Genomic DNA, 13,390 nt, shown 5'->3' with positions numbered 1-13,390 from the left:
GTTACGATACATTTGCACCAGCAGAGAGCCTCCTGATGCAAAAAGGTTTTTCCCAACAGTTGGAAAATAGCTGGGCCTTAGAATGAAGATCACAAAGAAAAGCAAATGTGTTAAAAAAAAAAAAAAAAAAAAAAAAAAAAAAAAACTTGAAATATTTAAACAATAGCCAGGAAGAAGGAACCATAAGTAGCATGTCAGTGATGTACATATGCTAGCACAATCTTTCAGTCTGAGAAGCAGTCGATATTTTACCGTAGATTTCCCCCACCTGCAAGCTCGAGGCAGGGTAAAGCAGTAGCACCAGCTCCCAAGAGATACTTTTGTTATCTTTTGTACTACAGGAGAGGAAAAAGGAAAAGGATACCAAAAAAAAAAAATTCTTTAAAATTCATAAAGAGGAAGAACAGAATGACCACCAAGACAGGTATATGTCTCGGTTATAAACAGGAAATAGCTAAAATAATAAATGAACACCCAAATGACAAAACATGGATTACAAGAGACATCTTAAATTACTTTTTTTGTCTCTGTGAAGCAACCCAACACTCATTTGGAAAAGCGTTTCCTATTATGTGAAGGAAGCATGACAGCACAATGACTTGTGAAATGCAGGGGCATTATTCTTTGCACCTACTAAAACAACACGCTGGCCATTCATCACAGGAGGCCCCTGTTCCCACTGTTCAGATAACACTTTGGGACACAGAGTTCTCTGAATTTGCGTAATTGATCTTTGCTCTTTCGGCTAGCACAAAATTTCAAATCCTACTACCATCCGTATTGGCAGGGTCCTGGTATATCACAGCAGTGACAACGTCAGACACACTGAGAAGTACCTGAGCCTGAGCTATCTCAGTCACCCTGTATGTGTGGAGAAGTGAGAGACAAGGTCACAGAAGTCATCCGACAGGCCATGTCTGTAGAAGACTGGACCACAGGACCACAGGAAGTGGGTTTTCTCCTAAATGCAAACCTGGCTGGGAGACGGCCAGGGAAGAAACGATTGCAATCTAACAGACAAGCATAGAATTGGGGATGTGCAGATGGTGCAAAGTAATGCAACCAGAGATGTGGAGGGTGAGGTGAGAGGTCTCAAGTGGGGGCAGTGCTGGTCCCCTAGGGGTGTTTGGACACGTGTGATGAAAAAAAGGGATGCTGTGTGTGCATGTGTGTGCACACATATGCTTGTGTGTTTTCCACACAATAATCAAGGAAAGTTACTGGTATCAGGCAGGTGAGAGCCAGGTTTGCTAAACATCCTGCAACATGCCAGACAGTCCCATGCAACAGGGTACCCATATTGAGAGACACCGGAGCAACATTCCACAGGTACTGAACTCCTCACGCATCTATCTCAGGATTCTGAGGTGGGATGAGGCAATGACAAGAAGCAGTCAAACACTGTGCTAAGCATTTTACTGAGAAAAAGCCCTGCACAGGTATTGGGTTAGCTGGGTCTCAATCTGTTTATGCCTCTAAACACCTTACTGATGAAAAAAAATTTCACTTCCTTGGGCCTCTGCATTTCCTTGTCTGTAAAATGAAGGGGTTTTTACTAGAAAAGTGGTTTTCAATCTTTAGTTTTCAGCAACAAAACCCTTTCTGCAAATGGAATCCCAATACAGAGCACAGGCAAAAGCTGAGATGCTCTGGCCACAGAGGAGAGGTGCAAGGAGGCCCTCCCATTCCTCAAGGGGTGACCTTAAGGCATCTCCCTGAACCCAAGATCCAGCTTCGGAAAAGACACCCCGTAGTGGTTGGGATCCCTTTCAACATCTGTGTTTAAATTTAAGATCTGTGTACAAATAATATGTATACAGAATGAACACAAGGCAAGTGATTTGATGGAGAAAACTACTTGGTGTTTGAAAACACAAAATCCTGACTCTGGAGCTCATGACTAAGTAATGTGTAAACTTCTGAAGTTCCATTTCATCATCTATAGAATGAGCATGATACCAGTAACTCAAAGGGCTTTTCTGAAGCTCAGAGATGATCTGTGCTTCTGCCAGCATCTCCTTTTTGCTTACTGTACGCGGGTTACAGCACCTATGCTGCCTCATTTCATTGTATTTTTCACTACAACCCTAGGAAGAAGCAATAATATTGATATTATTGTTCATTACACATGTGAGTGTCTCAGTTGAGAGGGTCCAAAAGTAAAGAAATAAAATAAAATAGATTTGGCCTCAAACTCCATTCCTTGGTGTGCTATAAAGTACATCAAGGACAGCGAAATGCTTCCATCATGGGAACACCTAGCCTTAGACCTTTACTAAATTATATAACATTTCGCTAGGTAGCAAAACCAAAATTATAGCGTATATTGGAAATTTATATAAAATGTTTTGAATAGTCTGAGATGGCAGCTTAACTTTATTTAGATAATTCCTTACACACACTATTTTAATCAATACTGAATGACATTTCCCAATTAAACAAACAAAAATGAAAAGCAAACTTTCCCCCAGTTAGGACTGGCCATCCAGCTCACTGATGGCACTCTGGGGTGAGGGATGCAAGGTAGTGCCCTCAGCCCTAACAGATAAAGATCACCTCTCAGAACCAGCCCCATGCAGAAACATGCTCCCGCCACTGGAAAGCAGAGGGGACTCACGTGCCCAGACGTTCCTCATGCTTTTTGTTGTCCTTTCCCCACACTTCAATGTCCAAAATGCCCATCCTGTCAGAGAAGTAGTGAAAGTCAAACTGTTCCTGCCACTGCGGATTTGCACTCTTACACAGTGTCTAGAAAACATGCAGTTATAATATTTATTTTCTTAAAATGTCATTCATTGCTACAGAAGCTACACATTAATTTCATCATTAAACTGCAGAGGGTCAAGATGATGGACCTCACCCCTTATAAAGGTAAACTTCTTTTTTTAGAATGAAAGGGACTTGGTGGGTTCAAGAACTGGCAAAACATTACTACTATCTTAGCTGCCCCCCAGATCCAATAATTTATCCACCAAGTTACAAAGAGTACTGTTACCTCACAGGAAACCATAAATTATATATACACACACATACACAGTGGACATATATCAGCAGACATCTTACAATTGTCTGTCTTATAGGACATCACACTAATTGCTTAATTGAATGCAAGTAACAGTTTTGTTGGCATATCCATTCAATGCTAGCTTACTAACTATATAAATTAACAGTTTAGGGTCTTAATTAACATCTGTCAGCTGCATTAAATGAGAAACCCACGACTTGTATATTGCTACCTATTTTTAAATCCAAAGTTAGTGAATCCAGTTACTAGGATTGGAGAAAGACTAGGAAATTCCACTGCAGCCAAACCTAAAAATTAACGAGAGTGACTTGAAAACTCCACAAGTGTTTCTGTGTTCTTCAAAAGTGATTCAAACTGCTTCTACGTTTGGTTTATTGGCAGGATTTTCATTTTTGTTTCCTTTATATAGAGATTAAATATGTGAATACAAAGTGAGCAAGAATGTTGGTCCCAGAGTATTAGGCTCTAGGGGTGCAGTGTGAGGTATTAAATCCCCGTACTAACTATTCTTGCATCAGAAAAACATAGAGAACTCAGACCTCGGCTGTAGCCAATGTCATGTAAAATCATTTCAGCTGTTTTTCACATCAGGCTTAATATATTGGATCACAGAATTTAGAAACCAGGTTGGGAAAAAAACAAAAACAAAAAAAAAAACAAGAAAAGCCCTGTTAGACCACAAATTAAATGCAGTATTCCCCAAGGGTGAATGTAGCAGATACTGAACTAATTCTACACTTCACCTTAGTCCAAATGGCTAAGTGTGCTTAGTGATGAATAATTTTTCCTAAATCCTTAGCCTGACCCTGGCAAGCTAAAGGAATCTTAGTAGAGAGATATGGTTATCCTGGATACCCTCACTGTGAGGCAAAGCCTGAAATTACCTGGTTAAAATAATTATCTGCATACTTCTGTCTTAATACACCCTCAATTTTCACATTTTTTATAAACTATTCTTCAACATGAGCTTCAATTCTCTACTTTGTGCTAGAGTAGATGACATGTAATATTTGATTCTGTACTGAAAATTGTGCAGTGCGCACAACCTCTTGCCTCCCTAAATCATTTTCCAACTTGTCTGTATCTGCTGCATCCTTGATGCTAGAAATATCCTCGGTTATATTTTCAAAATCGTCCACTGATTTTTTTTTTCCTGTGTGGCTTTTGGCAAGTGATTTAAGTTTCAAGTACCCCAGAGCTCCTTCAATCCATAAAACATAGGAAATATTCCTGTCTGACAGTTATGTAAAACTAATTAATTATCACGCTTTAGGGACTATAGTTTTTGAAATAAAATCCACACCAAATTACTAAGATTAAAAATTAAACGGAATTTGGATCAGCAGAATAAGATGAATTATTTTCAAAGACAGTTAAAATGCCATTATGTTTGTTTAAAATAAATCACTTTTCATACTTTGGATAGTTTATTATTTTTAATCCCAGCAAAAAACAGCAGCACTAGATACTATTTTTGGCGTGAAGACTAGCAAGCAAGAGAAAGCAAATATTTTTAATTATCTCACATATTTTAACCCAAATATCACGTATTATGCTATTCTATTTTTGTAGCATTTTGAAAACTTTTACTTATCCTTTTCCCACATTCTATGAAACATAGTTTGCTTATTTTCAAATTGAAAATAAGTCAGACATTCAAATCTATGATTTAATAAGGTTTCTCTAGCTCTGAGTTACTAAATTAAACTGTACTAAGCAATTAAAACAATACCCACATTAATTGACTGCATCTATACAATTATTTTGTTTTCTGCTCTTTAATATAGTTAGGCGGGCTGAACATAAATTACTTCTACTTTTGTAAAATTTAAAGTGGGAAACAATTTTTAATTTTTTTTTATTTTAAAGATACTGTTCTCCTTATGGAAAAGATGGAACTTACCTTACTTTTATACCTCTGATCTCCCAGTTTTAACTGGACAAACATCTCTGTCATGCTTCCTCCTGAGACATTCTTCCCTTCCAACAAAGTTATACTTATAATCCCGTTCCAGAGTTGGTTCTTTTTCAAGGACTCAGAGAGCCGTAGGTTGCGTATCAAAGAGGACTAAAGCAAAAAATAAAGATGACATGTAAACTTGCTTCTAATTCCTGAGAGTGACTTTGATGATCATAGGAATTCCAACTTTCAGTATTTAATTATAAAAAAAATTCCTCCCTGCCTGGGGAAAACTGTTTTTTTCATTGGTTTTGCAAACCTGCTGTCACAGTTATGTGACTTCCTTCTCAAGCTTTGGAGTGGTAATAATATAGTGAAGGATGAGTATATGCAACACTTTGACTTGGCACTGGCCGGTACTCCCACCCAGATGCGCTCTTTGGTGGGACTCCTTCAACTGGGCCTTTAGCTATTTTAATAGTGTGAGAGGAAGAAAGACATTCTGGGCAACAGAGATATTATACCAGAACAAGGCATTGCCTTGCAAGGAAGCAAAATATCTCTGGGCATTCAGAAATAATGACTTTGAATTTATCCTTCACATTTGAATCTGTCTCCACTTCTCTTTATTCCTTGGGATACTACCAAAAGCCCTATACCATGTAAGATTCACTAGTCCAAATAGAGCCTCCAGTGGCCTAGCTGGCCAAATGAGCTTTGCAGACCTGGAGTGGGGGTGGGAGGGAAGGGGGCGTATAAAGCACATCTCACTGCACCTGGGACCCAGGAGGGGTTCAATAACTTAACTCTTATTTCCTTTGCTAAATTATATTACTCACACTCATACATACCTTGGAGGAAAAAGGCAAATGTCCTGTTATAAGTTGTAAATAGAGTAGTCACACTTCATTTTTTAATTTCCACTATGTAAATTTTCAAACATACACAAAGGTAAAGAGAAGAGTATAATAAATCTCCATGTACTTAATTACCAGATTCACTGTCTGGCAAATCTTATTTTACCTATGCTTTCATTCCTTTCTGGTTGAAATATCTTAAAGCAAAATCCACATTTGTTTTTACATAAAAATCCTGCTATGATCACACTCAATGGCGTTAACCATAAGTTGTCTAGCATATTAAATACACAGTGCATATTCACATTTCCCTGATGGTCTCAACCATGCCTTTTTATGGCTAGTTTGTCTGAGTCGGGATCCCCACATGATCCACACGCTGCATTTAGTTAGCAGAGTTCATTTACGTTGTCCGTTCAGTAAGTGAAATAACACAAGCATAGGCTTCTTTATTGAAGGAGAAATAAATGGGCTGAAGAATGTAAATGGTGCTGAGCATCATCGTCGAGCAATGAATTTCTAACACTATATATTCATTCCTGTCATCGCTCGCTATATCTTCCAGATCATTTAGACACCAATTTGCTCGGACAGCAGTTAGTCACAATTTATCACAACAAATGGTATGTCAGTACCATAGTCATTATAGCCCAGCTTACCTCATCGAACCCAGGCCACTCCACCACTCTTAATAAGTGACGCAACAATGCCACACTAGGTATTTTGATCATTTATGACAATCTTAAACAAAATACATTCAAGAAAACACATATTCCCAAACTTCCTATCTGTATTACTCCGTTATCACACTGCTATAAAGAACTGCCTGGCGGGTAATTTACAAAGGAAAGAGGTTTAATTGACTCAGTGCAGCGTGGCTGGGGAGGCCTCAGGAAACTTAATCACCATGGAAGGTGAAGGGGAAGCAAGGCACCTTCTTCACAAGGCGGCAGGAAGGAGAAGTGCCGAGTGAAGTGGAAAGATCCCCTTATAAAGCCATCAGATCTCAAGAGAACTCATGAGAATCTATCATGAGAACAGCATGGGGGAAACCACCCCCATAATTCAGTTACTTCCACCTGGTCTTTCCCTTGACAAGTGGGGATTATGGGGATTACAATTCAAGATGAGATTTGGGTGGGGACACAAAGTCTAACCATATCAATATCCATGTGACTTTTCTCTTAAAACACACAGACACACACACACACATAGGTTCTGCAGGTGCTGAGACAGAACAGAAGGGGCAAATGAGGAAAGAATTTTAAAAAGAAAGAACTATCCTCTTCTCTGGTGAACATAAGTAATTCCTTCTTACTTCATATATATATATGGGAATATATGTATAGGAATATTTTAACTATTTCATAAACCTTTATTATTGAATATGTTCCATCCGGAATAATATATGATTATTATTATTGTTATTATTATATATAAAAATAACATATTCCAGATATACTCAATAAAGGTTTATGAAACAGTTAATATTAAGTGATTTTTGTATTGGTCATAAACAGACACCATCACAATATATAAATAGATGTATCTGCATATATGCACATATATCTATAGATGTTTATATAGATATCGATATACTGAATACATTTTCTAGCTTATTAAGTACATGGGCTAAAAACTTCTACCTTTAAAACAAAAATGAGATTTTGATTCATATATCCTGCTGCAATTCCTCCTTTTGCTTTTTTTCTTCTTAAAGTTTGACTTGCCAACCAACAAGCTAAAGCATGACCTGTCCCACGGCCATGCTTCAAAGTTCCGACAGATATATTCCTCCCTAAACACTGCATCTATTTCAAAATCCTTTTTATAAAAAAGGGAGTAATGTCCACAAAGGATCAAAGGGCATCCTACAGTCTGGCAATTGCTTAAGAAAAATGGCAGCACTTCCATGAAATATGCCCTAAAATAATTTTGCGGCTTGGTATGTCCTAATTTCAAATTGGATGTTTATCTTGGAAAGGCTTCTATCTAACTTGTCCATAAAACAGCTCCACTTAGCTCTATGAGCTCTGTGAAAATGGAATCCAAAGCTGGTTATTAAGGGGGCCTAGAGATCGGTTCCATATGGCGGAACAGCATGGGAGGGCAAGGCTGAGGACTGTAGCAGGCGCGACTTGGCTGGAGCTCCTGATCTATCCATGGACACTCGCTGCATTACACCATAACATCTGGATTATTGCTTGTAATGTCCCTGGGAAATATCCACTTTCCATCAAAGCTTTTATCTATCTCAGTCGGACTTTGAACATTTTAGTATTTAACGCAGTCATGTTTGATCTGATGGACTTGCTCTCTGCTGTCCAGGATTTTTTCTACCCCTCCTAAAGGGAGGGCAGGAGAAGTATTTATTGCAGAGTTCACAGATAGAAAAGAACACAAGACCTTTATTCTACTTATTATACCCCAAATATTTCTGCAAACCACTATAAGGTTATTTTTCAAATAAAGTTTCATCTGTGATCCACACATGCTGGAGGAGGTGTACTTTAAAGACGTCTCTTAATTACTTTAACATTTCTCTTCCATACTTGATAGGTTTGATGAGGCCTCAGACCAGGGAGTCTGGGGTTCAGGGTAGGGCCTGGGCCATCTATTGTGTGCTTTCTTGCAGAGCTGGGCTCGCAAAAGTCTTTTGTGCTCTTCAAACACCCCTTTTTTCCCTCACAATAAATCAACTCATCTGCACTCACTCAGCTGAATAGCTTAGGTTTTCATGCCTGTGCCCGAACCTATACGTGAAATTTGTCATCTTAATGCAGCCTGGAATGTGAAAGGAGAGAAGGAAATGACCCATCACAGGGGAAAGCCACCCCACCTGAACTGAAACAGACGCCAAGAGATAGTGAAAAGTTTCGGGCCCCTGACCCTAATTTCTCAGCAGACATAATGGATACAATACAGTACATCAGGGTTTTGTTATTTTTCTCCTTCCTCCCAAAGGATCAGACCTTTCGCTATTCCTATGTTGATTCATTCATCTGCTCTGTCTTTCTCAGCCCCCACCTCACCAAATCCCCACCCATTTTTCTAAAACAGAAAAGGTGACTTCCACTTAAGGCACACTGGCTAGTTATTAATAGTGAAAACAAGGTGTGCTGTGCCAGTTAGAAACATATTAACTTCTGTAAAAGAGCTTTGAAAACACTAATTTACTTCTCGTTCAAGACCATCCCGAGGCAGGAAGGGGAGAAACTTTGCGGTGGGACTAAAATTATACCCAGCAGATTCAAACAGGTAGGGAATCCTCATAAGTTTCTGATCTAGGACTAGACTCTAAAACAGGGAATGTACTGTCATTGCTGGAATACATGAAATGGACTACAGTTTGGTGGCATACATTATTTGATGTTTTGGGCCTGGGGACAAGCTGGGGAGATAGTGATGTGAATTCCAGTATCCCTTTTCCTTGGCATGGCTGCAGAGGAAACTGAGGAAGGATGGACAGGTCAGCTTGGTGCCTCTTATCTGTCCGAGGCCAGGTGGTGCCTCTTATCTGTCCCAGGCCAGGAAGAGTGGCAGAGAGGTCAGGAGGAAAGAAATCCTAAAAGGAGGGCATGAAGTCAGGAGCTGGAGCCACAGCCTACGGCCATCTAAAGCAAGATTACATTCAACTAGGTGGCACTCCAGAACTGACGATGCCAAGCAATACCCACGGGATAATTCTCCAAAATACTCTCTTGCATATAACACAATACCAATCAGCCAACCAACAAAGAGAGAAGTAAGAAAAGGCACTGACCAGAGCATACCTGCCAGGTGCCAAATAATGTACTGGTACTCCATACATAGTCTCAGAGACAGAAGGATAAACATATCAGTGTTCTCGTGGTGCCAATAAATCCCATTTTGACTGTCATTAATTGTTTTTCCTAAGTCATTATGGGAAAGTAAGTAGTCAATGGAAACAAATGCATTAAAAAAATCAACTTCGTAAGAAAAATGAGTAGTAAAGTCAGATTCCAACTATGTTGACCACTGCTTTGAAAACTAAAGAGAAAACATTGAGCCTATAAAATGTTTCACTGAAATATTCCTTTCAAGCTTTTTCAACATGTAAAACTACTGTTCCTTGTCAACAGCTTTTATTGCATGACATGAGAAGATCCATACATCCATGGAACAGGCTCCCAGGGAAAATTCTTCTCTGCAGCTCCTCTCTATCATCTGAAGAGGATACTGGACCCATAAATTCTCCTAGAACTACACAGAAATCCTTGCATGAGAATAAAAAGAAAACCTTTTAAATTTCCCACATGTAAAAGTCCACAGAAGTTGCAATTTATACTTGTAGATAAAAATGGTATCAGTTCCAGAGATATGAATAATCTGTGTACAAATACATTAGCTATAAAAGCTTTGCATTAAATTTAATATTTTTAAATTATAAGATAAAATTGTCACTCAATTTTTGTACTTAAAAATAAAAATAGATTAAGAGAAGATTTAAAAAAATAGTTAAAGACTGCACATACCCAGTGACTCTCAGATTTTAGGACCAGCGAAATGCTTCTAATGCATTTCCTACTATTTAAAAAAAAAAATGAAGAGATAAAACAACACAACAACAAGGGCCATGTGATTCAACAAGATTTTCTTTTTGCCCTGACCTGTAGGAAGCTCAAGTTATATGTTGGGCTCATGTGCAATAGTATTAATCGTCTTGTATTTCTTGATTTACTTGTATAATCCTGCTACCCTTCACTTCTCTATTGTTCTATATTTCTTACTTAAAATACTTTATAAGCAACCCTACCGAGGGCTGGGAGTAGTGTGAAGCAGTGAGGTACACAGCTCATGCTCCAGGTTCTGCAAGTGCAGGGCTGGTGCATCAGCCTGGATGTCTTATTTTATTTTGAGACGGAGTCTCGCTCTGTCACTCAGGCTGGGGTGCAGTGATGTGATCTCAGCTCACTGCGACATCTGCCTCCCAGGTTCAAGCAATTCTCCTGCCTCAGCCTCCCAAGTAGCTTGGACTACAGGAGTATTTTTTGTATTTTTAGTAGAGACAGGGTTTCACCATGTTGGCGAGGCTGGTCTTGAACTCCTGACCTCAAGTGATCCACCTGACTCGGCCTCCCAAAGTGCTGGGATTACAGGCATGAGCCACCGTGCCCAGCCCCGGATGCCATTTTATGTTTTGCACCCAGAGCACCTCTCTTGCCTCACCTTAATCCCAGCCTACCTCCATCACCTTATGGTTAGGAGCCAGAGCCATGGCCTCCAAGGCCTGCCCTTCCTTACATCTCCTGCTTTTTCTCCTACAGTTCCCAGCATCTTTCTTTATACTCTAGTCCTTCCCAGGGCTTCTCAAACTTGAAGGTGCTTGACAGTCACCTGGAGGACTTGTTCAAAGATGGCTGCACCTCATTTCCAGAGTTGCTGATTGAAGAAGTCTAAGATGGGAGCCAGGAAGTTGGATTTCTAACCATTACCAGCTGCGGCTGGTCCAGGGGACACACCGAAAAGCAAGCTGTTTAGAGTCCTACAATAAATAGTTTGGAGATCTTACCATATGCCACATTATTTTATCCTGAAATGTTTCCATTCATTTCATCCTCTTTCTCAACTGATGAGATTCATTCCAGTCTTTTTTTTTTTTTTTTTCAGACAGAGTCCCGCTGTGTTGCCCAGGCTGGAGTGCAGTGCTGCGATCTCGGCTCACTGCAAGCTCCACCTCCCAGGTTCACACCATTCTCCTGCCTCAGCCTCCAGAGTAGCTGGGACTACAGGCGCATGCCACCACGCCCGGCTAATTTTTTGTATTTTTAGTAGAGACGGGGTTTCACCATGTTAACCAGGATGGTCTCGATCTCCTGACCTCGTGATCCGCCCGCCTCAGCCTCCAGTCTTTTTTTATCTGAGGGCTTTCCTGAGCCCAACACAGAGACCAGCGTCCAACCCACTCCACCCACCTGAAAGGCCAGGATAATGGTCTCACTGCACCCTTTGAATACCTCCGTCACTAATTCTCATTTCTCTTACCTGCTCATCAATTCTGATGACTGAGTCTAATTCACCCTGTATCCAAGGACAGGTTCTACCGCAAGTGTATGTGCTCAGTGAGAGGTTTTGGGGCAAACTGAGTCAAACATCACTGAGAGGAGAGATTTGATGAGATGTTAAGGAAGACAGTCCCTCTGTCCCTCTGGTGTGGAGTACATACAAGCTTTGAAAGTTCTGATAAATTGATAGCTTCACCTAAACAAGGCTACAGCTTCCAGGGAGGAGGAAAGCCTCTAGAAGTCATTCTGTCCAGGTTAATACTGACCTAGACTTCATAATAAGGCATCAGAAGCATCAGGGTTACGACATTCAGCAGTGGGTCAGTGCAGTGTGACATTTAGATTGATTGATTGACAGATGAAATAGAGATAGAAGACAGATAGAGACGGGTAGATAAATTAGATAGATGAGCTAAATTAGATCATAGATGGAAAACAGACAAGCAGATAGAGGTAGGTGTACAATAAGCACATAGATAAATGTGGCTGTTTTGAGTATTCAGTTCTCCAATCCTTTGAGTTTAACCAAGAAAATAAAAAGGTAACAGGTGTTACTAGGAGTGGGCATTTGAATTCAGTGAAGAATGCATGAAAACAAAAAAACAGTACAACAAACAAAAAAAACTGTATTAATTTGGGAATAATTCCAGGTACAACACACTTCCTTTAAGTCCTCAAATGGACCATATTTCCTCCTGCAAGAGGGTTTTACTTGTACTACTTCCTGGGCCAACACAGAAATAAGACATGTGAGTTCAATTAGAGAAAGCGGTACAGTGAGAGAGGGCATTCACCTAGAAGATGACAGAAGTGGCATCTTTGAGTAGCTCCTTTTCAACCCAAAGATATATGACTACAAACAATCAAAAAACGTCTCCTGGTTCTCACCTGGGCTCTGGTCACGGAGCAGTTCATTTGAGAGAGAGAGGAAGACAGAGAGAGAGGAGAGAGAAAGGAGAGGAGAGAAATGAAGGGGGGGAGGGGGAGGAAGATGGGGAGGGGGAGAGGGAGAGGGGATGGAGAGGGAAGGGGGAACGGAGAGGGAGAGAGAGAAGGGGGATGGAGAGTGAGAGAGGAGAGGGAGAGGGGAAGGGAGATTGATTCCCTCCAAATGCTATGACTGTCTTCTCAGTGTATGTAGCCAGGTGGAGGCCAGCTGATAGGAGTGCCTAGAGAATGTATCCTGCAGAGGTCAGCCTTTGCAATAACAGAGAGGAACCAAAATAAAAGAATATAAAACCAAACAGGCCAACAATTGGCACTAGAAGTCAATTAATTTCGTACAGAAAAAAAAATTACACTAGTATAAGTCATGTTTCTTACTTTAGACAGCAGACATATTAATACATATAACAGAGGGTCAAAAGAGAGGCTACGTAAGAGTATGTACTTATCTTGGTAAAAATTCATCTAAAGTAAAGATAATCCATAACTAAATAGCCATTGTAGTCAGACATAACACCTATACACACCCAAATAATAGCAGGGGGTGTGGGGAGTGTATGTGTGTGTGTGTGTGTATGTCTGTGTGTGTGTGAGAGAGAGAGACAGAATATGTGCAGTTTCTGAACACAATCAGTAA

General features: G+C 40.0%; 1 protein-coding gene across 28 annotated transcripts in view; it reads right to left on the bottom strand.

Annotated features, from left to right (window-relative positions):
• Positions 1–13,390, bottom strand: part of MCTP2 (multiple C2 and transmembrane domain containing 2) — a 252,587-nt gene that overhangs the window by 122,723 nt on the left and 116,474 nt on the right. For 24 of the 28 annotated variants that reach the window (NR_169532.1, NR_169530.1, NR_169529.1 and 21 more), the window contains 2 exons: positions 4,929–5,093; positions 2,618–2,748 (listed from right to left, as the gene is read on the bottom strand). Coding sequence is in view for 21 of the 28 variants with exons in the window: in XM_047432839.1 (XP_047288795.1) it covers positions 2,618–2,748; positions 4,929–5,093 (296 nt within the window). In the remaining 7 variants the exon portion in view is untranslated. Of the gene's footprint in view, positions 1–2,617; positions 2,749–4,928; positions 5,301–13,390 lie in introns of those variants that run through there. The other 4 variants (NR_169527.1, NR_169526.1, XM_005254960.2 and 1 more) reach the window with 2 other exon arrangements.

This window comes from Homo sapiens, chromosome 15, assembly GCF_000001405.40.
Source record: "Homo sapiens chromosome 15, GRCh38.p14 Primary Assembly".
Lineage (NCBI taxonomy): Eukaryota > Metazoa > Chordata > Mammalia > Primates > Hominidae > Homo > Homo sapiens.
Note: the sequence above shows the minus strand (reverse complement) of the source record. Positions and strands in the feature narration are given on the sequence as shown.